The sequence below is a fragment of the Homo sapiens genome, chromosome 2 (assembly GCF_000001405.40).
Source record: "Homo sapiens chromosome 2, GRCh38.p14 Primary Assembly".
In the NCBI taxonomy this organism is placed as follows: domain Eukaryota; kingdom Metazoa; phylum Chordata; class Mammalia; order Primates; family Hominidae; genus Homo; species Homo sapiens.
The window spans coordinates 63,723,770-63,750,612 of NC_000002.12; the positions used below are offsets into that span (position 1 = coordinate 63,723,770).

Below are 26,843 nucleotides of genomic sequence, written 5' to 3' on the forward strand. Positions count from 1 at the left end.
AAATCCTTATTAAATGACATTCTCATTTTGAAAATTTGGCAAAGTTAAAAAAAAAAGGAGAAGAAAAATTTCCCATAACTTCGACATCCAGGACATTGACTTCTGATAAATTTGTGTGGTATTACACAACTCTTGAAAAATCTGTACAGAGGGGCAACTCATCTTGAACTCTGGCTCTGGGCCTGGAAGAACTGCTTTCATACCCATTTCAGATTTGCTACCTAAGTTTCAATTTGAAATTTTTTCATCTTTAACTAACAACCTACACATCTAGCATATAGCTATGTCCTGCCCAATTTGAGCAGTTTCTATGAGAGATAATTTATAAACCAAAACATGCAGAATGCTGAGTAATAAAGGAAAATGCCTGAATGATAAATATTTAGTTTGATGTAGATACATAGTTGTTCATTGCTGTGCTGCAATTCTTACCCATAAATATATCTACCTTTAACAACAGAACAAAAATGGGCTAAAAGTACCACATTTCATCTATGTCCTAAATTTCCATTAAATTAATAGACTTAAAAAATGGTCTTCAGCCTTTTTTTTTTCATCTTCTAAACTACTGAAGGGCAAAAAATGCAATCTTTGAAAGAATTTCATCAATACTTACACTGTTGATCACATTTTCTGAGGAACCTACTTGCCAGTTCTCCTGCTTCTACGGATTTTGCTAGTCATTGCGCCTGACTTAAATAGTCATATCTTTAAAAAAATCACAATTCCTCTCTGACAGATTTAGCTTCAAAATATCACTAATAAAATCACACCAATGCTTATGGGAGCATCAGAGACAAATATAAAATTTCAGGATATAAAACCTGGGTATCTGCAAAGATTTAAAAGACAAGTATGGGGCATCATAAAGCAAAATTTAAGAGTGGGTCAAACCTTTTAACAGCAGCATGAGGAAACCCAAATGGAAAAGTGGGCAACAAAGTTTAAAACTCTACTAGCAAGCAATTTAGAAAGCTCTGAAACTGTAACTAGTAACACTAGCCTCTCTTGTTTAAATAACTCATTGAGAGGTTTGTCACTGAACTGTTATCCTGAAAAGCCCACCTCTGCCAGCACATGTGGGCATGTGAACAACTCTTGAAAAATCTGTTTGTACAGAGGGGCAACTCATATTTGCTTCTTGAATTCTGGCTCTGAGCCTGGAAGAACTGCTTTCATATCCATTCTCCTACGGGATTTTAAAAAATAATAACCTGTGACATCTTTTTACTTGGCAAGCAAATGGCTTCTACCTTGAAAGCAGCCAGTTTTTTTTCTTTCCAACTTTTATTTTAGGTTCAGAGGGGACACGTGCAGGTTTGTTACCTGGGGAAATTGTTTGTCACAAGGTTTTGGTTTATAGATTATTTCTTTACTCAGGTAATGAGCACAGTACTCGATAGATAGTTTTTTGATGTTCAGCCTCCTCCCACCCTTCCACCCTCCAGCAGGCTCCCATGTCTATTGTTCCCTTAGTGTCCATGTGTACTCAATGTAGCTCCCACTTATAAGTGTGAACATGTGGTATTTGGTTTTCTGTTTCTGCATTAATTTGCTTAGGATAATGGCCTACAGTTGCATCCATGTTGCTGCAAAGGACATAGTTTCATTCTTTTTTATGGCTGTATAGTATTCCATGGTGTATATGTACCACATTTTCTTTATCCAGTCCAACACTGATGGGCATTTAGGTTGATTCCATGTCTTTGCTATTGTGAATAGTGCTGCAATGAATATATACATGCATGTATCTTTACGGTAGAATGATTTATATTCCTTTGGGTATATACCTAGTAGTGGGATTGCTGAGTCAAATGGTAGCTCTGTTTTAGGTTCTTTGAGAAAACTCCAAACTGCTTTCCACAGTGGCTGAACTAATTTACACTCCCACCAACAGTATGTAGGTGTTAACTTTTCTCCACAACCTTGCCAGCATCTGTTATTTTTTTGACTTTTTAATAATAACCATTCTGACTGGTATGAGATGGTATCTCATTGTGGTTTTGATTTAAATTTCTCTGATGATTGGTGATGTTGAGCATTTTTTTCATATGCTTGTTGGCTGCGTGTATGCCTTCTTTTGAGAAGTGTCCATTCATGTCATTTGCTAATTTTAATGGGTTTTCTTTTGTTTGTTAATTTTTTAAGTTCCTTATAGATTCTGGATATTAGACCTTTGCTGGATGCATAGTTTGCAAATATTTTCTCCCATTCTGTAAACTGTCTGCTTACTCCATTGATAGTATCTCTTGCTGTGCAGAAGCTCTTTAGTTTAATTAAGTCCCACTTGTCAATTTTTGCTTTTGTTGCAATTGCTTTTGGAGGCTTCATCATGAAATATTTGCCAGGGTATATGTCCAGAATAGTATTAATATTTCCTAGGTTTTCTTCTAGGGTTTTTATACTTTTATGTTTTACATTTAAGTCTTCAATACATCTTGAGTTGATTTTTGTATATGGTGAAAGGAAGTGGTCCAGTTTCAATCTTCCACGTATGGCTAGCCAGTTATGACAGCACCATTTATTGAATAGGGAGTCCTTTTCCCGTTGCTTGTTTTTGTTGAACTTGTTGAAGATTAGACAGTTGTAAGTGTGTGGCTTTATTTCTGGGTTCTCTAACTTGTTCCATTCGTCTATATGACTGTTTTTGTACCATATCATGCTGTTTGGGTTACTGTAGCCCTGTACTGTAGTTTGAGGTCAGGTAGTGTGATGCTTCTGGCTTTGTTCTTTTTGCTTAGGATTGCCTTTGGCTATTCTTTTTTCATTCCGTATGATTTTAGAATAGTTATTCCTAGTTCTGTAAAAAGTGTCATCAGTAGTTTGATAGGAACAGCATTGCATCTGTAAAGTGCTTTGGGCAGTGTGGCCATTTTAACACTATTGATTCTTACTATCCATGATAATGGAATGTTCTTCCACTTCTTTGTGTTGTCTCTAATTTCTTTCAGCAGTGTTTTGTAATTCTCATTGTAGAGATCTTTCATCTCCCTGGTTAGCTATATGTATTCCTAGGCATTTTATTCCTTTTGTGTGGCTATGGTGAATGGGATTGAGTTCTTGATTTGGCTCTCAGCTTGAATGTTATTGATGCACAGAAATACTATTGATTTTTGTATACTTATTTTATGTCCTAAAACAGCTGAAGTTGTTTATCAGATCTAGGAAAGTCTGGGCAGAAACTATGGCATTTTCTAGGTACAGAAGCATACTGTCTGCAAAGAGATAAGTTTGACTTCTCTCCCTATTTCGATATATTTGATTTCTTTCTCTTGCCTGATTGCTCTAGCTAACACTTCCAGTAAGTACTATGTTGAATAGGAGTGGTGAGAATGGGCATCCTTGTTTTGTTGTGGCTCTCAAGGAGGATGCTTTCAGCTTTTGCCCATTCAGTATGATGTGGGCTGTGGGTTTGTCATAGATGGTTCTTATTATTTTGAGGTACGTTCTTTTGATGCCTAGTTTGTTGAGGGTTTTTAACATAAAGGAATGTTGAATTTTATTGAAAGCCTTTTCTGAGTCTACTGAGATAATCATGTAGTTTTTGTTTTTAGCTCTGTCCATGTATTGAATCACATTTAGTGATTTGCATGTGTTGAAACAACCTTGCATCCCAGGAATAAAGCCTACTTGATCGTATTGGATTAGCATTTTCATGTCCTCCTGGATTCAGTTTGCTGGTATTTTGTTGAGGAGTTTTACATCTATGCTCATCAGGGATATTGGCCTGAATTTTTCTTTATTTGTTTGTTATGTCTCTGCCAGGCTTTGGTATCAGCATGATGTTGGCCTCATAGAATGAGTTGGATAGGAGTCCCTTCTCCTCTATTTTTCTGAATAGTTTCAGTGGTATTTGTGCCAACTCTTATTTATATGTCTGGTAGAATTCAGCTGTGAATCTGTCTGATCCATGGCTTTTCCTGGTTGGTAGGCTTTTCATTACTGATTCAATTTCAGAACTCATTGTTGGTCTGTTCAGAGTTTCAATTTTTTCCTAGTTCAGTCTTGGGAAGTTGTATATTTCTAGGAAATTATGCATTTCTTCTAGGTTTTCCAGTTTGTGTGTGTAGAGGTGCTCATAATAGTGGCACTGTCCCCTTTGTCATTGCTGATTGTGTTTTTTGGATCTTCTCTCTTTTTCCTTTATTAGTCTAGCTAGCAGTCTATCAATCTTATTTTTTGAAAGTAAGCAATTTAAAGAAGCTAAAGCTAAAAGATCTTCCCCCTCAGTACTACAAATTTCAGAAAATAATAATGCAGACATGGTACTGTTTATCAATAGGTCATAATGAAATACTACCTCCAGGAGAATATCTGAAGACAAAATTAATGTATCTTCTAACATCTAACTATGCACAGAGATATAAGTAGCATAATAAGGCAATTAAAAGAAAAAAGAAGTTAGAGGAAGATTGTTTAATACAAGCAGTAGCATTATATTTTTTGGAAACTAGCAGGAAAAGTTGCTCCTGACCTACTAAGTGTAAGTGAACAAAAACGGTCTTTCAGAAACTGGACCCACATCTGAAGCTGTATGGCTCCTATTCAAAGGAGCTTACTTGGCCAAACACCAGGACCTGGACGAGGGTGAGAGAAGTGAGGAGCCTGGGCTCAAACTTTGAGTAGGTGCTCACTTTCAAGGCTGACATTGCACTTGTATGATCCTGAGAGTGAAGGGGCCTCCTTAAATTCTGACCACTAGGCTGGCTGGCATCTTAATCACCTCACCCTTGTCCTGTGAAAATGCTTTTTGACAAATGTGATACTTTTTAAAAGTAATGTCATATACTAAATTTTATTTACATCTTATGATAACCCTAGGAAGTAAATATATAATTATCCTCATTGTACAGATGAGGAGACTGAGGCTCAAGGTTAAGTGATAACTTGCAGTTATCCCACTGCAAGTTGAATAGCATGACTTGAACGTGGGCTTTGTGACTTTAGTGTTGGCATCCTTCCACTCAGTGCTCCATTCCCATGCCATCATGGACTGCTTCTCTCTGAGTTCCACAGGGGTTCCTTCCAGCAGGCATCAAGGAAATTTTCAATATACAGTCTCATGAACATGAACTGAAAATATTTGGGAAGTTAAAATAAACTCATTCTTCATCTAACTATTCATCCAATCGCTATTTAGGACCAGCACTAAGAGTTACGTATTTCTAACAAAAAGAATCCTTGATTCATATTTTCTAAGAACATACACTGACACTTTTAATGGCTTTTGACCAAGAGTTAATTATGCCCCTCAAAGAGGCCACTCCACGTTATCCACACTCATGATATTCTCTTCAATATGAAGGTCCAAGTAAATATCAATCAATCACAGTGCCATATGTCACTGAATAAAATTATTCCTGAAAAAAATATTTTCTACATCAAACACTGACTTGGAGATAATATGATTCAGTATTTTTTAACCCAGTGTTGTCACAAAAGGAAACATAGGATTCTGATTATACATTAATGATTTTATTAAAATTATGTTAATAGATGCTGTATTAAATCTGATCTAAAAATTTTTTAACCTAAAACCATTTTGTAATACACCACAAAAAATGATAAAAAAAATATATTTTAATTCCTAAGAAGTGGAGTTGTTCTGTGGAAAGGAGTTTTGGAGTAAAAATAAATGAATAACAGAATAGGTGGTGGTGGGGGTTGCAGATTCAGTTTGTATTTTTCAGGAAACACATAGCCCCAGTTAGGAGAAGTAGCCTGTTGAAGGTCATCCAGTTAGTGGCAGGGCCAGGACCCACATCTCCTAACCCCCAATTCAAAGCGCTTCCTCTGAACCCTGCTGCCTCCTGATAGCACATCAGGTGATTTCACCTTCATGCCAAAACAAAGCAAAACAAAACAAAAAAACCCAGAAATATTGCACAACTCAATTTTCTATTTTCTTATTTAACATGTGGAATAACTTTCATCTATAGTTTAAGGCTACTCTCTCCCCCAGACTAAAGGGATACAGCAGTTTTAACCAAATTTCTGCACACTAGTTATGTTTCCTATGCTGCTTTATGTAGTGAAAAAAAAAATACAGTCAAAAGTAAGGATCACAAAGAGGAATTAGGTTGTTTGTTTTTCCTGTGCCTGACACATGCTCCTGTATTATTTTCTTATAATGCTGAAATTCATCAAATATAGTCCATGCTCATTTTTCTACTTGGTGCTTCATTGGCTGGCATTTATTTACGCATAGTGAGAATGGGAGAAAGAGCCATTCCCCAGGCAGGGGCATAAGTAGCTCAGTGTTTGTTGTAAGGGAGGGAAAGAGTAGTTTCAGATACTAGGAGACAAGTAGAAAAAGAGTAAGTGTGAACATGGACACTTATACACAGGCATGTGTGTAATTCCAAGCGACATTTGTATGCATTATCTCATGCAATCTTCACAAGGACCTTAGGAAGTAGGTACTATTGTTATTCTCATTTTTTTTTTTTTACATGAGGAATTTGACTTACAAAGTGACTGACCCAAGATCACACAGCTACTATGTGACAGAACCAGGATCTGAACTGAGGCTATCTGACTCCAAAAACCCACAGGGAGGAAAATTTTCTCCCTTCGGTTTCTGGAGGTTGATTTGCTACCCCTCGCTATCAAAATAGAAAGGAGTGCAAATGGTCAGGCCTTTATCAGGGACAAGTAATTTCTTAATGACTGAAGTTCTCTAGTAATACTGTCTTCTTCTTTTGTTTTTTTTGAGACGGAGTCTCGCTCTGTTGCCCAGGCTGGAGTGCAACAGCGTAATCTCAGATCACTGCAACCTCCTCCTCCCGCGTTCAAGTGATTCTCCTGCCTTAGCCTCCCGAGTAGCTGGGATTACAGGTGCCCACCACCATACCTGGCTAATTTTTTTATTTTACTGTCTTCTTTATGGCATCCCCAGGAGATATGACATGATCACCGTGGTAAGGCAAAGTTCAATTCAAGAGCAAGAAAAGGTACTGAGAAAAGAGAAAAGAAAAAATGGGCACTTAGAGGAGAGTATCATTAAAAGAGTGAAAAGATAATGATTTACTAGTAGGAATTACAGCCAAAAAATAAGCAGTGATTAAATGTTGATGTCCTCACTGCTGAGTTCCAATCTTTAGAAAGTTGGCTGGACTCACCTTTTGCTGTTATTTTCAATGATATATGGGAGAAAGGTAAAATAGCCAAGTACATGAAAAAAAAAAAATACAAGCACTATCTTAAAAGACAAGAATGAGGCCGGGTACGGTGGCTCATGCCTGTAATCCCAGCACTTTGGGAGGCCGAGGCGGGCGGATCACGAGGTCAGGAGATCGAGACAATCCTGGCAAACATGGTGAAACCCTGTGTCTACTAAAAATACAAAAGTTAGCTGGGTGTGGTGTCACGTGCCTGTAGTTCCAGCTACTTGGGAGGCTGAGGCAGGAGAATCACTTGAATCCGGGAGGCGGAGGTTGCAGTGAGCTGAGATTGCGACACTGCACCCCTGCATGGCAACAGAGTGAGAATCCGTCTCAAAAAAAAAAAAAAAAAGACAAGAATAAGACTGTTTATAAACTGTTGGGGGTTTTTTTGTTTTATTAACTCATAGTAGTGCAGTTTTAAAAACTGAGGTAAAATTCACATAACATTAATTAACCTATTAACCATAATGTACAATTCAGTGACACTTAGTATATATTCACTATGTTGTGCAACTTATCACCTCTAACTACTCCCAAGAAATTTTCATCACCCCACAAGGCAACCCTGTACCCATAACAATGCAGTCTGAAGAAATACTATTAGGAAAGTTGGCAAAATGGAGGAAAGTAAGATACTAAGATCCAGTGGTATGGCAAAAAGTGAGAAGTAGCTAATGGATTAATATAAAAATAAATATTTTAAAAATCGTATTTAACAAATTTTTGCTGGAACATTATAATGTACAATGTACTGTGCAGAGTGTTGGATACTGTGGTTGGAGGGAGGATAGGGAAGGTAGCAAATATGAATGCAATCTGATTTTAGTCTTCAAAAGAGCTTGTAATCTCAAGATGAATTCAGACATGTCATCAATGGTACAAGGTAAGCAAGAGACAAGGGACTGGATAGAGAAAGGATAAGATACCAAAGGAAGGTGATAAGAAGTATATTTGTTCTGTTTAGATTAAGCAAAGTCTAGTTCTTGAGCCAATGATGATTTTCTCTGTAAGACTATGAAAAGCAGATGCCAGACAAACTGCTAAAATCAAGGCAAATGTTACATGGGCACATGAAGTGAATCCCCACTCCCTAGGAATAAATGAGGAAAGAGGGGAGATAGTTAAGGCTCCATGTGACTATTGGTCTTTATGGTTTTATGGTGTGTAGACACTCTTACAATAAAGTAGAAGCCAAATCCAAGACACAGATGGGGGGAAATGAAAAGAGGGTGCTATGCAATCATAGCTTTCAAGGCATCATTTGTGCATTTAAGACATATAAAGAATGAGCAACATGAGCTGTTATGGATGCCAACAAAATTAAAATGGGACATAAAGAAGAGTACCATAGCATTGATGCTATAAAGACTAGGCTTATGCCCCAAGATGGAAGAAAATGCAACTGCTGGAGACTAAGCTTCAAATTCCACCCTGGCCAAGATGAAATGGCAAATCATGCTACAAAAAAAGGTGATTTGTAAATATAGAAGAGGGGTATCTTTCCATAAGATAAAATGCAGAAGATCATCAATGGAATGTAAATATTGAGGACCTAAAAACTATAATAAGAAATTATCAAAGTACTCTTAAAGGAGATATATACTTATTAGAGAATAAATAATAAACCTGAGTACTATATAAAAATAACATATAGGAGTCTACAAGAAATAAAGGAATAAGTATAACCAGTTTATAGTAAATATAAAACAGAAATATCTTACAAAATGTTTTATTTATTTAAGAAATGATGGTTCTACAATAAAAATATTCGATAGGGGCAGCAAATACCATTGCATGGGATATGACATTATTTTTGGAGTCACTCAACCAAGATTAAGGGAAAGAAAGAATTGAATTACAGTTTTGAAGAAAAAGCTTATTGAGCTTATTCAGGGGAAGGGTGAATGATGAAGAGTAAATCATTGAAACTTGAAAATAAAGACTCAGGAGGCAGAAACATGAAGAACTACAGATATGTAAAAAGTCAGGAGAATTGGACATACATGCACAGTACTGGAGAACTGGGCAAAATGTATTAGAAGAAAGAGGAGAGTGAAACAAAAGTGTCAGCAAAGACAGCAAAGAGAAACCCATTACATTTATAAGAAATAAAACTTTTCTGTTTTGATGAACAACTATAAATGGGTATAAAATATAAGTATGTTTGGAAAGAAAACATTTGAGAACCATATGAGTTAGTGGGAGTGAAAGTGCTTTAAAAATTACAAGCTAATATACAAATAAATGATTTTTTTTTTTTTTTTTTTTTTTTTTTAAGACGGAGTCTCGCTCTGTCGCCCAGGCCGGACTGCGGACTGCAGTGGCGCAATCTCGGCTCACTGCAAGCTCCGCTTCCCGGGTTCACGCCATTCTCCTGCCTCAGCCTCCCGAGTAGCTGGGACTACAGGTGCCCGCCACCGCGCCCGGCTAATTTTTTGTATTTTTTTTAGTAGAGACGGGGTTTCACCTTGTTAGCCAGGATGGTCTCGATCTCCTGACCTCATGATCCACCCGCCTCGGCCTCCCAAAGTGCTGGGATTACAGGCGTGAGCCACCGCGCCCGGCCGCCAAATAAATGATTTTATCTCACTGGAGCATAGCAGTGATGGGCTTTCACACAGTCCAGGCAAAGAGGGCAGAAGCATTTAGCTGGTCCTGCTCGGTTACCATAAAACACAGTGACTAGCAAGGGCAAGTGTGTTGAAGACTGGGATTGCCAACGACTGTCTTCTCTGTACTTGTCAGTGCTGGCTGGAAGAAAACCTCTGGAAAATCTTCTTCTTGTGCAGAATCTTCAATTTGTATTTTTTTTAAATTGGGATATAATTCACCTACCATAATATTCACCCCTTGAAAGTGTACAATTCAGTGGCTCTTAGTATATTCACAAAATTGTGCAACCATCACCACTATCTCATTCTAAACATTTTCATCACCATAAAAAAAACCTCTAAACCCATAAGTAGCCCCTCATTTCCCCCTCTTCCCAGCGTCTGGCAACCAAGAATCTACTTTGTCTCTATGAATGTGCTTATTCTAGAAATATCACATGAATAGAATCACACCATATGTAACCTTTTGTGTTTGGTTTCTTTCACTTAGTGTTTTTAATGTCCATCCATGTTGTAGTAGGTATGAGTACTCAGTCCATTTTATGGCAAAACAATATTCCATTGTTAGATAAACTACATTTTGTTATCCATTCACCAGTTGATGAACATTTTCAGTTTTTTTAAATTTCCTTTAATTTTTTTCTAGTGTGCAGATATTTGGAAATTATTCTTACATTCAACTAGACAAATTCCAAGTATGTGATATAAGGTTCTTAAGATTAATTTTAAGATAAAGAATTTGTATAAAAATTGGCAAACATCACAAAAGGCCTAGAAATGAATAAAGTGGCTTTATGTATGTATTTACATATATAACCACTTTATTATATATACATATATATGCATATAATGTCTATATAATGAGATCTTGTGACCAGTTATCTACATCTAACTTTCCCTATTTAGGTACACATTTTCCATCGAATGGCTGCTCTTTGCCAAAAAAATAAATTAATTAATTAAAAGGCCATGACTTTTCTCAGTGCCCCACATGAAACAATACCTCGAGTAAATCTTCACTTCACTGGATTAAAACTTGTATGTTCCATCTACAGAGTTAGTGTTGATCTTTCTCAGAGTTGCATCAGCTTTAACAAACATTTGAACATCACAGTATGCAAACAAATGTGAACCTAAACCATTGTTGAAAGCTGACCATGGCAAAATGCATGAAAGAAAGGAGCTGGATAAAAATTACTTGCTAAACCTGCAGTTTAAGTTATTGCACCTTTTTATTTTTTTTCTTAGTTTTCCTCACTGAAACCAAACATAGGCTGAGAAATTTTAAGTTGCAGAAGGATAGATAGATGGAGATAGATAGATAGACAGACAGACAGACAGACAGACAGACAGACAGACAGATAGATAGATGATAGACAGATGAAGAAATTTCCCACTTAAAAAATATGCCCTGTGAGTGGTTCTAATTTAGTTGAAGGAGTTTGGGTAAGTTCAGATTTCCATGGTAACTCTGATATCATTTATTCATTAAGCAAACATTTATAGAAGAATTACTTACTATGTGCCAGGTATCTTGAGGGCTACAAATACAGAACAATATTGCTTCTGACCTCATGAAAATGAGTATCTAGTGAGGAAAGTAAGATATGAATACAAATATCTATAATATAGAGTGGAAGTGATAGCTCCTATGATAGAGATGCAGATAAATTGTTACAGGAGTTCAGAAAAATTATAGGTCCCTTGCAGTTAAGAGAGACCAAGAAAAGCTGGGCAGGCAGAGAAGGTGATATCAGAACCGTGGCCTTAAACTGTAAGGAGAGGTAGAATCTGAACAGGTAGAAAGAGGGAGCAAGAACCGGTGGGACAAAGGGACAAAATCAGAGCATTTCTGGGCATGTGAAGGAAGAACAGGAAGCTCAGAAGACTGTGGGACAAGGAGCAATGCGCCACAGGATGGGAAACAGGGTTGAGTCAGACAGTGCAAGGTCTTGGATGCCATGAGAAAGAGTTCATATTTTATATTGTAGCCAACAGAGAGCTATTAAGGTTTTTGAGCAGGGAAGTAATAGGGAAGAGCTGTATGTGGGAAAGATTAACTTGTAATCCAAGTATAAAATCATGTAAAAAGGGTCGGAGGAAGGGGCCCAAAGTGGGAAAACCAGTTAGGAGTCTATTACCATGGTCCAAAAGAGAGAGACACCGTCAGACTAGAGGCATGGAAGAAAGAAATATTATGAAATCAGAATCGAATAAATGTTTCATATTCTTGTTGTTAATTGTGTTCCAGAAAGCTAAATTCTATTAAGTTAATATAGAAACAAGCTTTGACTGACTGGTGACAATATCAGGCACCTGTACCCAAAGATACACAGAAAATAACCCTAGCTCTCTGTTAAAAAAGAAACTTATAATACCAATGGTTTTCGAGAGTCCTTTCCAGTTAAATTTTTCTTTTTGAAATACTTAATCCATCATTAAGATTCTCCAGGGAGAGTTCTCATAATCCAGAGGTTAAGGATTGCAGAATTCTAGACACTGAAGTCTAGGCCAGTTTCCCCACCTCCAATTTTACTGACAGTGAAACTGAACACCATAGAGGAAATGACTTCTCCAGGAAAACATTGCTGGTTAGAATGCAAATCTCCTGATCTCTGACCCTCATCTCATTAATGCATATTCTGCTGTGGATATTCTATGTTGGCTAGAACTGAAGTATCAAAATAAAGTGACTCTTTTAGTTCACATGGGCTTAAAAAATTGGTTTCAAATAAATAGCAAACAAAAAATATGACTCCATCAGAAAATTGGAAACCTGCAAGGTATTGCTGTCTGGATGAAATACTGATGTACCACATGCCTTACTTATCAGGTATCATAAAACACTGGCTTAAATGCAATGTAGCAACCACTTAACTCTGTGGAAAACTCTGATTACTTAGGGGAATTCCTTAGGTCTTACAGAGAACTTGTGGTCTCCAAAATATAATACCAAACTTTTTTTTATTGAGAACACCAAATATGTTTTTAATAGAATTCAATTTAGGATTTCAGGAAGTAACTGAAAATCTGCAGCCTATAGGCATTGCAGAAATGAAGGAAAAGGGCATCAGTCTCTCAAAATTCTGGCAGGAAAGGAGTGGCTATCTCCAAAGTTATTTTTCCTCTGGAATAAGCTGCTTGCTGGTGCCAAAGAACAGCTCATCAGCAATGTTGTTTGATTTTGTAGGGATGTTTTGAAAGAGAAAAAAAAATTAGGAATGAATGCTGTGATTTTTTAAACCTCATATCCCAAAACCTATAATAATTTTGCTGCTTTTTATTTTTAAAAAACAAAACCAAATGTTTGAGATTTGATTTTGAGTCCACCATGTTCACTGCAGGCATATTATGTCAATCTTATTACAAGATGCAGCATGTAATTTCTTTAAATGCTGCCAAAGACAAAGAAAAAAAAAACCATATATTACCTTATAGACTCAAACGACAGCACAAAAACAAGCTATAAACTACCATTTCTCTACCTCTCCTGGAGGGCTCTCATCCTCCAAAAATGTACAGGGATGTCTCATGTGTACTCCCAAAACAGTTCTCTTGGCTGCCATGTGGTTCACAATTCTCCATGCCTGATATAAGCAGCTGCTGGCAATCCTTCAAGCCATGTCCCACTGCCCACCAAAAGCACTACCACCACTGTTGCAGTTGCTGATGTGTGCAAGCAGGCCTCCAAGGCTCAAAGCTCAACTTCAAGGGCATCAAAGATATTGATAGTCCTGGAGCCAAGGCTGCTGCTGCTGGCACCAATATTCATGACACAAACAAGCTGCACTCTCCATGTCCTAAGAAGATTAGCAAACACCAACTCCTTTAGTTTCTACTAGGTCTTATATTACAGACACTTTGGGGTCACAGAACTCAGAGACAGATGAGGTAGATGTTCAATAGCTATTTGTTGAAAGAATGAATTAGTCCTCCTTGCTGGGCTAGAAGCAACCTGAGTGGCAGACATCATGTGTACTCAGACATGTTCAACCTCATCTGCTGTCTTAATACAACCTCTGTACTTTGGTTCTTCCTTCCACTGGGATGAGTTCTTTCCTGGAGGCTACTTGAGTTGTCTTATAAGTAGAATTCCAGAAGGCCCATCCCACTAGATACCAGGCATGTCCAGATATGCCTGAATACTGGGGAAGATAAAACTTAGGCTCAACCTTTACCACATACTATCTTTCTTCATCTTAAAAAAGGAAATACAGAACTGACATAATTATACAAATAATTCAAGTTTTTGTTTTTCATTTGAATCTCATTGGGAGTTACAAATTGGCAGCCTGTAGGCTGAATCTGGCCAGATGATTTTTTTTTAAGCACACATGATTTTAAAAAATTTTGTTTGAGTTAGTATACATCTAGATCAGTGGTTCTCATACTTGAATGTGCATCAGAATCAAGCTTGTTACAACTCCAGGGCTTGTTAAAACTTAGATTGCTGGGCCCCACCCCCAGCATTTCTAATTCCATGGCTCTGGGTTGGGGGCCAGATAACTTGAATGTCTACCTAGTTCCTAATGTAGCTGGTCTGGAGACATATTCTGACAACCAGTGCTTAGGTGCTCTGTAGTTTTCCCACACCCCTCACCAGTCCCCATTGCATTTCATCTGACCCGTTTTATTCATTTCTATTACTAACTGCTTGGCCTGTGAGTCTGAAAATTCTGTGAGTCTCAATATTTCAGGTGAAATCCCTTTTACAGCATGACTCATGGAGATGATTGTATAATATTATCCACTTTATTTCACTTGTAATACGTGGTTTATCTATGGCCTCACAACAGAATGTTCAGCAAATACTCAGGTTCTTATTTTTTTTATCAGGGCTACTATTGACATTTGCTTGTTCAGGGGACCACCCCCACTCCTTCTCCTGTGCACATAGATCTGCTTGATATCAGCCCAATCCAGAAGTGGAAAATGAGAAAGGCCAGAATGCTTATGACAAATGAGAAAGCAATTTCATTTTTGTCTGTTTGATCATGTCACTTTTAGAATTAAATGGTGATTTTTCAAGCATATCTGTATTTGAAATTTTAATCTATACCTTGGTCAAAGACCAAACATTGCCTGAAAACCAAATACTGATTATATTCATAGCTATAGGCATAGTAATATGTGAGGATAATTTAAATCTGTCATAAAGGATAAATGTTTATGTTTTTTAAACTTTTTATTGAAGTATTACCAGATAAACAGAATAGTATATACATCATAAATGTACAGATCATTGAATTTTCACAACTGAACACACTCATGTAACTACCACCTAGAGCAAGAAAGAGATCATTACCAGCTCCCCAAAATCCCCCCGACAACCCTTTCAAATATTAACTCCCAAGGTTACTACTATGCTGACTTCTAACAGCATAGATTAGCTTTGCCTATTTTTGTAATTTGTACAAATGAACTTATACAATATGTACTCTATGTGTCTGGCTTTTTTTGATCAACATTATGTTTATTAACATTGTTTTTTAACTTTTATTTTAGGTTTGGGGGTACTTGTGAAGGTTTGTTATATAGGTAAATACATTTCACAGGGGTTGTTGTACATATTATTTTATCACCCCAGTATTAAGTCCAGTACCCAATAGCTATATTTTCTGCTCCTTTCCTTCCTCCCACCTCAAGTAGACCCCAGTGTCTGTTGTTTCCTTCTTTGCATTGATAAGTTCTTATCATTTACCTCCCACTTATAAGTAAGAACATGTGGTATTTAGTTTTCTGTTCCTGCGTTAGTTTGCTGAGGATAACAGCCTCCAGCTCCATCCATGTTTCCACAAAACACATGATCTCATCCTTTTTTATGGCTGCATGGTATTCCATGGTGTATATGTACCACATTTTCTTTATCCAATCCTAATTCTTTATCCAATTAGGTTGATTCCATGTCTTTGCTACTGTGAATAGTGCTACAATGAACATTCGGATGCATATATCTTCATGGTAGAATGGTTTGTATTTCTCTGGGTATGTACCCAGTAATGGGATTGCTGGGTTGAATGGTAGTTCTGCTTTTAGCTCTTTGAGGAATCACCACACTGCTTTTGTGGATAGCAGCAATCAAACTTTTGTGGAAAGCAGTGTGGTGATTCCTCAAAGAGGAATGGTTGAACTAATTTACACTTCTACCAACAGTGTATGTGTTCCCTTTTCTTGACAACCTTGCCAGTATCTGTTATTTTTTTACTTTTATTAATAATAGCCATTCTGACTGGTGTGAAATGGTATCCCACTCTGGTTTTGATTTGCACTTCTCTAATGATCAGTGATATTGAGCTTTTTTTTCATATGCTTGTTGGCCACATGTATACCTTCTTTAGAGAAGTGTCTATTCATGTCCTTTGTCCACTATTTAATGGGTTTTTGTTTTTCTCTTGTAAATTTAACATGGTTAATAAACATTAACATCACTAATGAACATTATGTTCATTAACATTGTTATATATAATCATAATTTGTTCACTGTCATTGCTGTATAGTATTCCATTATGTGATTACACTACAATTTAGTCATTCTACTATTGATGAGCATTTGGATTATTTACATTTTGATGGGGCTAGAAAAAGTGCTGCTACAAACATTCTCATATATGTCTTTTGCTGCACATATATGTGTACTTCTATTAAGTATATAGCTTGGGGTAGAATTGCTGAGTCAGAGGATATATGTATATTCAGCTGTAGGAGATTCTGCCCAAAAGTTTTCCAAAGTGATTGTGCCAATTTATACTTCTATTAGATGTGTATCAAAGTTCCAGTTTCTCCACATTGTTTCCAACACTTTGGATTTTACTTATTACTCTAAAGAGAGATTTGACTAGATTTAAGTTATCAGTGTCTTTATCTAATTTTCATACATCTTAAGTTCACTGCACACCTTCTATCACTTTCAAGCAATCAAGGCATACATCTTTCTTTAATAAATGATTGGGCTTCGCAACCAATTTGTAAATAGATACCTTAGTGAATTTGCTGTCTAAGTGAATATTCCTCCTGCCATAAATTATCTGTTTGTTTTTAAGCCACAAAGTATATTATGAATGGGAAGATAATGATTATTCTCTGTGTTTGCAGCTGTAATCTAAATGTGTAACCAACATTACTTTGCATTTGGTAACAGGCAGTTGTTATTTGTAGCAACTCTTCCTGCAGGTGATGCTCTTCCTCAAACCACAATTTCCATAATACATTAAGAAGTTTAAGACCTCACTCTAGTCTTACTGTACAAGGTAATTTGTCCATTTGCTGCTCCTAGTTCCTACAGCCCAGAGCCATGCCCAACACATGAGCAGTTAATTGTCTTTTGGTATAAAAACATAGTTCTTTCTCCTGTCCATGAGGAATATATAATTGCTTTACTTCTAGTTCTTCTGCTCATGCATTCTTGGCACATCTATTTTGTGAAATTCTGTCCTGATGATTTTGGTATTAACCAATTTTGGTATTAATCAAAATTGTGGTATGTGGAAAGCTATTGCTGAGAAATTTTATATCCTTAATGGGATATCCAGGAAGTCAGATGTTTCTGGATAATGTCTGCCTTTAGGGAAGGAAGCTGGAATTTTCTGGATAAAGGTTGACTCTAACAATCAGTAACAAATTTCTGATATTGTGCAATGTCTCTTACTTTGCTGTAAGCTGATCCTTCAAAAATACTGAGACAAAGCACTTAATAAAGACATCTTTTGTGGCACCATTAAGCACTAGCTAGGGAGTCAGTCTCAGGTCCCTCGGACCTTCTTTGATTTATTTTTTTTTTCAGGCTCATTTATCCACTGTACACCCTGAGTTAAGATACCTGCACAGAGCTGGGTTTCTCCTGGGCATCTCTGGCAGCCAGCTGTTAGAAATAAATGTTTTATTTAATTGTTTAATTGAGTGGGAAATGGTTTAAGTAGAGTTGGTCTCTTGTATTTCACTATGCTTAATGTTTACTTTCTTTGCTTGCCTACTTTGAATGATTTCTGGCTTTGATAAATTGCATCTTAAATTTTTTTGGTTTACCTGCATGATTACAATATTTGCATTTTTTTTTCAAATTTAATGGCTTAACAATGTAACGTCATTCCTCATTTGCCACTTTTAATCAGAAACTGGGTAAGTGAAAAATCAGTGTTGTGGATTATTTTATTTAAAAACCCTCTGATTTCTTTAAATAAATCATTTAAAAATTCAAGCAATTTATAAAAGCACAACAAATAAAGCCCCCTCTTACCACTCAGAAAATGACTGTTGCTAACTTTAGGTGAATATTATTCCAGACTTCTCTATGCCTATATACAGATAAAAGATTAGACAAACAAAAAGCAAGATAAATGGAAAACGTTATTAAAATTGGATCATACAACAGCTGGTGGTTAATAAAGAACTATTAAAGTTTACTTCAGTTTAACAAAAGAAAAAGAAAACTGAATGATATGGATTAGCTGAACTCCAGATAAATTTTTTCTCACATGTCAGGCATATTTTAGAGATCTCAATCATGTGTGCTTGGGCTTGACTCAGTCTGATGTCTATCTCTTGGCATAAACCCAGAGGAATTTCTTGACTGTATGTCCAGGAATATTAGTCTCCCCTATCTCTAATAGTTCATCTTATTACAGTGTAAGTGTTTTTGTCAGTAGCCTGTTGTTCTTTCTGTAAAAAGATAAAATGGAAAGAAAGAAACAGGAAGAAGAGAAAAGGAAGGAAGGGAGGGAGGAAGGAAGGAAGGGAGAGAGGGAGGAAGGAAGGGAGAAAGGAAGGAAAGTTTCTATTTCAATGTCTGTATTCTAGCTTATAATTTTAGTGGTCCTCTTAATTAAAGTGCCATGTAACTTGTGGATGATACTCACCCAACATTATAGGGAGACTTAGTGTTTTAAGATAGGTCTGGCCTTCCTACTTCATTACAGAATAGGTCCCAGGGATCACTTTGGGATGGTCCTCAGAATTTATCGTGCCCTGCCTGATCCATATCCTCTCACTAATGAGGTAGATTGCATTAAAAGCCTCGTCTTGTTCAATCTATTTTATGCAGTCTGCCATGCCTACAAGGGTTCTTTTTTCTTATAAATTCTAATGATATTATCTGTAGATTATCAACCCAAAACTTGAGAGCAGTGATAACTAACAAAAGACCCATACGAGATGACATAAAAACGTTGGTGGATTGTTTATTGTATGTTCCACACAATGCCACAGACCATGACCTTCTAGAACATCTGGGTAACGTGCCAAGCAGCACCAGGGAAACTCTATACCCAGTCCTTGCCTCAGTAACACAGAGCCCAATGTTATCAGTTGCATTTTATTACTAGCCTGTAAAGAATTTAAGGGTGCTATAATTGAAAATGAACTGAAAATTTAATAAGAAAGGCCAGCATGACACATGACGCAGGTGAACGGAAAGAAGGGAACTAACATTTCTTGAGCCTCTATTTTATGCCAAAAGGGATGTTTACATCTTTTTAATCCCCAAACAACCCCGTGGAATTGATATTGTTTGTATTTTCATGTTACAGATGAGTAAACAAGGCTTGGAGGGATTGATGTTGTAAGTGGTGAGCTGGAATTTGAATCCAGATCTGTCCCATTCCAGTGCTCTTTCTCCTGAGCTGTTCTTCCTACCTGCAAGTTGTTATTCCAACAAAATTTCAAACTATATTCTAAATGAGCTCTGTGATAAGGTGGTATGTGCAGCCTGCTACGTGGCTTCCCTACCTAATCATTCTTCAGAGCATCAGACCCAACTATTTCAGTAAGGTCATCAATGTTAGAGTCACACTTAACACTAAATGGATTTGGTTACCGCCTGTCCTTGCCACCTGATGCTGCCAGGGAAAATGGAAGAACAGCTGCTGGAAAGATTTGCTAATTCCTTTGAATAGCTTGTGACATTATCTAAACTTTAGATTCCAAAGGGATTTGTTGATTCTACAGTTTTTAAAAAAATACATCAAGATATACCTGGAAATAAGATAATGAGGTTTTTAGAAAATTATTTTGTTGGCATTATGTAGACTTCTCAAATAATTCATATGAAAGTTAATCCCAAGTTATGAATACTTGCATGACAGTCCACAGCATTAAGAGATGGCATTCTATTTGAAAGGCCATGTGCACAGTTGAGCAACTTGATATCAAGTGATCTTATTAGGGAGATTACATTGTAGACCTTGTGATACTAAAAGCTTTTTAAAAAAAATACCATGAGCTGCTTAAAAGTAACAACTGATTGTGATATATTTATTGCAACTTTAATAACATGGAAAATTATGTTTAAAAAATTTATTCATTGCTTATCACTCTTTGTGACTTTAAGATCTCTCAACAAAACACTTGAGTAGAAATCACATAACTTAATGTACAAAACAGAAAGCAGTACTAATTAAAGTGTAATAAGCCCCTTAATGGCAGGGGCAACTTATACACATCATGTTCTAAAAAGAAATTATTGATTTTTCTAATCTGTCATAACATGTTCCAGATGTATGAAGGGTGGGGGTGTGGAGGGATAGTAGACAGAGGGAGTTATTTCTCATTTTGTTTTATAACTGGAGAAAGTGAAATAGAGAAGTGATCTGTTGCAGTCATAGTGTTCTTGGATGCACAATACAGTTTTAGCTGCATTGCACTTTTTCTCGAGCAGAATATTCATACTTTACAGCTTCAGTTTAAGGAAATGGTGCCTTCTTCTTTGTTTCCAATATACTCTAACCTGAAAGCTGCAACAGCAATGCAGCCCTCTCCTCTTGCTCACTGACCTTCTTTTATGCTGGCCTTTGGTTCAGAATGGCACATCATTCCTCGTTTTTGTCTTCAGTAAATGAGACAAGATTCTGAGAAGACAGCCACCGTAATGTTGCTGCCATCAAAGGAACTGGATGCCAGTTAATTGATAAGCTTCTTCCATAGTTACACTGTCCATACTTCTCTCAATGTTAAATCAAACAAATTAGTCAGACCAAGGACACAGAACTCAGACTCTCTGGAAAACAACGTCTCTCATATACTGTAGTAAATCACTAAGTTGCAATTGTTTTAAACGTAAACAAATAAAAGAAACAAAGAAAAGAAAAGCAGCTTACATCCTAAAGGGAAATTAATTTACAATCACATTTTTCTAATTATAGTCCTTTCAGTTCTTTTTTCCCCTTTGAGAAGTCTTCTGTATGAGTCTGCCTTTTGGCTCCACAGTCTGCACAACCCAGAGAAAACCCTCTGATTATAGAAACTTCCATGTGGTGAGATTCTAGGTCCCCCTTTCCCCTACCCACCCCACCTCCTGCACAAATAGTTTCACCATCTGTCTATAACACTGCCTGAAATTTCATCATTAAATATATTCTTTCAGATTAAATATATACCCACTTATTTTAAAAATAATAATCACGTCATTGAACATTCCCATAAGCCTAACACAACTATTTATATTACTTTAAATTTCTCTGATATTTTCAGTGCTTCTGCAGATCTTTTTAATCATATAAACAATATGTGAATTTATGTTTAGTCTGGTTGTTCATTTGATGTTGTTTAATATATCCATATATCAATACAAGGTATATATTTATGTTATTTTCATAAGTAATGTACTCTACTTTGAGGATTTATAAAGAGTAAAGAATTTGAATTGTTTTAAGTTTTGCCTTTATAAATATTTCTGCCTTAAACATTATTTTACACATTGGTTTGTTCTGCCCTTTAAAAATTATTTTCTTAAATAACCTTAAGTTTCCCAAAGCAGAAACCTGAGTCAAAGAATGGCAATGTTTTAATATCTCATTTCATATTTCTAATATGGTTAAAACTATTCCACTGAATGATCGTATCAACTGGCAATGCTGCCAACAACTATGAGTACCAGTTTCTCTACACTGTTGGTTGATTACTATCATTATTAAATTTAAAAACATATGTATTTACATTCATAGTTTAGAACTCATAGTTGTTGGTTTTAGATATTTTTAATTAGACAAGGTAATGATTTTTCAACTGTTGTTTTATTACAGCTCTTTCATCTGGAAGGCCTAGAGTTTGGGTATTGGTCTTATAGCTCTGCATTATGATTAAAATCATATGCGCATGCACGCACTTACACACACACACACACACACACACACTTGTACTCCATCTTATTTGCTCCCTTTCTCTGGAGAATCTTGACTAATATAGGGGCTATTATCAACTATGTTTCCATGAATGTTCTGTATGACTCCTGATGAGTATGAGGGAGTTACTGGAGTTACTAGGGTAAAAACTGTGCCTCTTTTCTTCTTTATGAAGTACTGCCAAACTGTTTTTGTGCCCATTTATGTTCCCACCAGCACAGCTGAGTTCCCATTAAGGCAGATGCTGATCAACCCATGGTATTGGCTATTTTAAAATTTTTGTTAATCTGATAGATAGGAAATATCTCATTGTATTTGCATTTTCTTAATCACTAATGAAGGTGAGCATGTTTTCATATGTTTATGGGCCATTTGAGTTTCTTCTTTTGTGAAATGTGTTGTGGGAAGTCAGGGACCCCAAACAGAGGGACTGGCTGAAGCCATGGCAGAAGAACATAAATTGTGAAGATTTCATGGACATTTATTAGTTCCCCAAATTAATACTTTTATAATTTCTTACACCTGTCTTTACTGCAATCTCTGAACATAAATTGTAAAGATTCAGGGCATTTATCACTTCCCCAATCAATACTCTTGTGATTTCCCATGCCTGTCTTTACTTTAATCTCTTAATCCTGTCATCTTCGTAAGCTGAGGATGTATGTGGCCTCAGGACCCTGAGATGATTGCATTAACTAAACAAATTGTTTGTAGACCATGTGTTTTTGAACAATATGAAATATGGGCACCTTAAGAACAGGATAACAGCGATTTTCAGGGAACAAGGGAGATAACCTTAAAGTCTGGCTGCCTGTGGGCTGGGCAGGACAGAGCCATACTTCTCTTATTACCGAAAACAGGTAAGAGAAATATCGCTGAATTCTTTCCCCAGTAAGGAATATTAATAATTAACAGCCCTGGGAAAAGAATGCATTCCCAGGGGGGGCCTCTAAAATGGCCACCCTGGGAGTGTCTGCCTTATGCAGATGTAGATAGGGATGAAACACGCCCTAGTCTCCTGCAGCGCCCCAAGGTTTGCTAGGATTAGGAAATTCCAGCCTGGCGAATTCTAGTCAGACCGTTTCTCTGCTCTTGAACCCTGTTAAGATGTTTATCAATGATAATGCGTGCACAGCGGGACATGGAAGTTCATTAGTGATTCTAGTTTCGCCCTGAACTTGTGATCTCGCCCTGACATTCTGCCTTGTGATCTTTTGTTGCCCTTGAGGCATGTGATCTCTGTGACCCACTCCCTCCCCTTTGAAAATTGCTAATAAAAACTTGGGTTTTATGGCTCGGGGGCATCATGAAACCTGCCTACATGTGATGTCTCTCCCAGACACCCAGCTTTAAAATTTCTCTCTTTTGTACTCTTTCCCTTTATTTCTCAGACTGGCTGACACTTAGGGAAAATAGAAAAGGACCGACGTTGAAATATCGGGGGCTGAATTTTCCCTGATAAAATGTCTGGTCCTATTTTGTCATTTTCCCACTGATTTGTAGCAGCTCTTGCATACTATAGATGTTAGATCTTAGTAACATATGCTACAAATATTTTCTACTAATTTGTAACTTGTCTTTGCACTTTTTATGTTGTCCTTTGATGATCTGAAACATATCTAAAATTCTTAATTTTAATTTAGTTTAAATTTTCAATCTTTCACCTGTTTGTCTTTTTGTACTTTGTTCAAGAAATCCTTCTGTACTCTGTTGCCATGAGGATATTTTCCTATGTATTTTTTTAAAGGCTTTGGTTTTGCCTTTTACTTTTAGGTCTTTGATTCTCCCAAAATTTTATTTTGTTTATAGTGTGAGGTAGAGACTCAATATAATTTTTTCCCATATGGATATCTTTATCCAGTACCATTTATTGAAAAACTCATCATTTTCCTGTCATCTGCAATACCACTTCCATCATATATCTAGTATCTATATATGTCAGTGTCTATTTCTGGGCTTTAATTCTGTTCCATAGATCTATTTGTCTATCCAGCACTAATACTGTACTATCTTAAGAACCACAGCTTTATTAGTGTCCTGAAAGCTGGTAGGACAAACTCATTTGTCCTCTTTAAGAGTGTTTTGGCTATTTTTGGTCCTTTGTTATTCCATATACATTTTAGAATATGATGGTCATGTTTGACTTTTTAAACAAAATCTATCAGAGATTTGATTGAGATTGCATTGATTCTGTAGATCAAATTAGGGACAACAGATATCTTTATAATATAGAATCTTCTAGTTCTATTGTTTCTTAAAAGTTTTGTATATTCTGTTAGATTAATACATAGGTATTTTCCATTAAAAATACATGTGGATGGAATGAATATATATACAGAGAGAGAGAGTGAGGGAAATAGAAAGAGAATAAGAAAAAGAGTGTATGTGTTATTTGCTAACTCTAGCTGCTATATAGAAATGAAATAGAGTTTTATATTGAGTTGGTATCTGACAACTTTTGTTAAATTTACATTCATTTAAAAAATTTATTGGTAGTTCATTTTGAATTTTTTTACATATTAACAGTATTATTTGAAAGCAATGATAGTATTATCCCTCTTTCAATCCTTATTCTTTTGTTATGTTTTCTTGCTTTTCTTCAGTGACTTGTACATACAGTGTAATGTTAAATAGAAATGGGAATCCTTGTTTTGTTCCTAATCTTAGATAAAATTATTTGAATAACCACAAGATATAATATTTTCCTTAGTTTTATTTATTTTTAAATTAGACTGAGGAAGCTCCTTCTATTCCTAGTTAACTAGATGTTTTTATTATAAATGAATGTTAAATTTTATCAAACACCTTTTCTGCATTTATTGAGATGATCATATAAATTTTCTCCTTTAATTTGTTAACATGGTGAACAACATTACTAATTTTTTAGTATAAACCAATCCCGAATTATTAGGATAAACCTAATTTGATATATTATCTCATACCCATTGCTGGGTATGTTTTTGGTAATATTTTATTACTGGCATATACTTTGAAGCTTATCCCTTATTCCTTTAAGCATAGTAAACATTTTAACTTTATAGCTGGTATGTGAAATACATATGGACATATTCCTTGTAGCTCTTGCTTTTGCTGTGTATCACTCATGGTGCTTTTGTTCACTCGTATATTTTGTTGTGTTTTTGTTGTGAGTTGTTCATTTTACTTAGAGTTTCATTTCTTTGAAGTCTTTGAAGACTGAGATGATGGTGGGATACTATAGATTAATTTGCATTTGTTTCTGACCAGCCATATGAAGGCACTACAAGTCTGGGGTGCTCTAATTTAAATTCTTAACTTGTGGTTTTTGGTAACACACAGTTTCTGTGAATTTGCGCTACAAATCTGTGTGAGGACCATCTTGTGATTCCAAATTTTCAGCAACTATTTTTACCTCCTGTACTCTTTGCTAAAGGTCAAGGATATTTTCTTTTTAGACCTCAGGGACAAGAAAGGGATGGGTTTATTTCCAGGTCATGCTTACACTGACTGTTTAGAACTTTGATATTTCAGCTCTTTTAAAGTAAGGGATGAGCTAATAAATTGCTACCTTTTGAAAGTCCTTGTCTTTGTTTCCTGCTCTGTGGGCTCTGTAGATTCAGGATAACCAAGGCTCAAATTTACACAAGTTAACAAATAGACTCAGAAAGAAAACTGGCTAAAATACTACACTTCTCCAAGATCCCTTCCTCTTTTAGTCCCTGATCTGAGACTTCCTTACTTTCTTGTACAGACAGTCCCCAATTTACAATGGTTTGCTTATAATTTTTTGACTTTATAGTGGTGCAAAGGTGATGTGCATTCAGTAGAAACCATTTGAGTACCCATACAACCATTCTGTTTTTCATATTCGATACACGAGTTAATAAATTACATAAAATATTCAACACTTTATTATAAAATAGGCTTTGTCTTAGATGATTTTGCCCAACTGTAGGCTAATGTAGGCGTTTTAGCACCCAACTACCTGTTTAAGGTAGGCTAGGCTAAGCCATGATGTTTAGTAGGTTAGGTGTATTAAATGCATTTTTCACTTACAATATTTTCAACTTTCAATGGGTGTATCAGGGAGTAACCCCATTATAAGAAGCATCTGTAGTTCATTGATGCTTTTAAGATTTCTTGAACACATAATCTAGAATTTTTTGTTGTTTTCTTAAAAAAGGACAAACTAGGTGCCTATTCTTCCACATGATGTGAAATTACTGTATTAAATGTTTATATCCCCATCCTATAGTCTTGCTGTTATCTTAATTTTGCTATTATTGTTTATAAATATGCTCTTCCAATGCAAATATCCTTGGGAGGGACAACACATTAACTGTGAACTTACTAGTTTGAAATAGTTTTTGAGATGTATTCCTCTGACAACAGTGACTAGAACTCTGAAACAGTGGGAGAATATATATATTTGTGATAAAAATAGGTAAGAAAAGAGAAGTGATTTTGAAGAATGAGATATTATTGAAGAAAAATAGACTGGAATGGTATGTTACCTCTGGGCAATCGGTGATTGGGAGACACAGGGAGGCATCAGAATGGATGAGAGATATACTTAAAATCCCCAAAGATAGGAAGGCACTAAAATAAATTTCTCTTGCCTCACAATTTTGCCTAGGTTTAGTTATATAAGCATAACTAGAATAACTTACAACAGAATTCCTATGAAATTAAAAACTCTAATTCAGAAGGCAAGCCTATCTAAACTCAAGTTTTCTTGAAATATTTTGGTTTATTTCACGCACAACCTTGGTAAAATAAATAGGAAAGCATATACTTAAAAAAAAAAACCTGAATACAGAGATAGTTTTACTTCAAGTTTTTATTCTCCCCACTGCTGCCTGTTTTTGTCTTATTGCAATAACTAGGACCTTCATTAACACTGTTGAGTACAAGTTGTAAGGGTGGGCCTTCACTCTTGGTTACTGATCTGAGGGGAAAAGCATTCAATGTATGTT

The 26,843-nt window shown here is 36.1% G+C and overlaps 1 protein-coding gene across 5 annotated transcripts in view, besides 1 other annotated feature; it reads right to left on the reverse strand.

Annotated features, from left to right (window-relative positions):
* The window catches only part of WDPCP (WD repeat containing planar cell polarity effector), a 721,268-nt gene that overhangs the window by 604,211 nt on the left and 90,214 nt on the right, over positions 1-26,843 (reverse strand). The gene's annotated exons all lie outside the window — the stretch shown is intronic.
* Positions 22,620-23,271: an enhancer, noted in NCBI's record as "OCT4-NANOG hESC enhancer chr2:63973523-63974174 (GRCh37/hg19 assembly coordinates)". NCBI's record gives its function as "activates a minimal SCP1, AML or CMV promoter by ChIP-STARR-seq in naive H9 embryonic stem cells {active_cell/tissue: H9 hESC(naive)}" and the evidence as "EXISTENCE:reporter gene assay evidence [ECO:0000049][PMID:30033119]".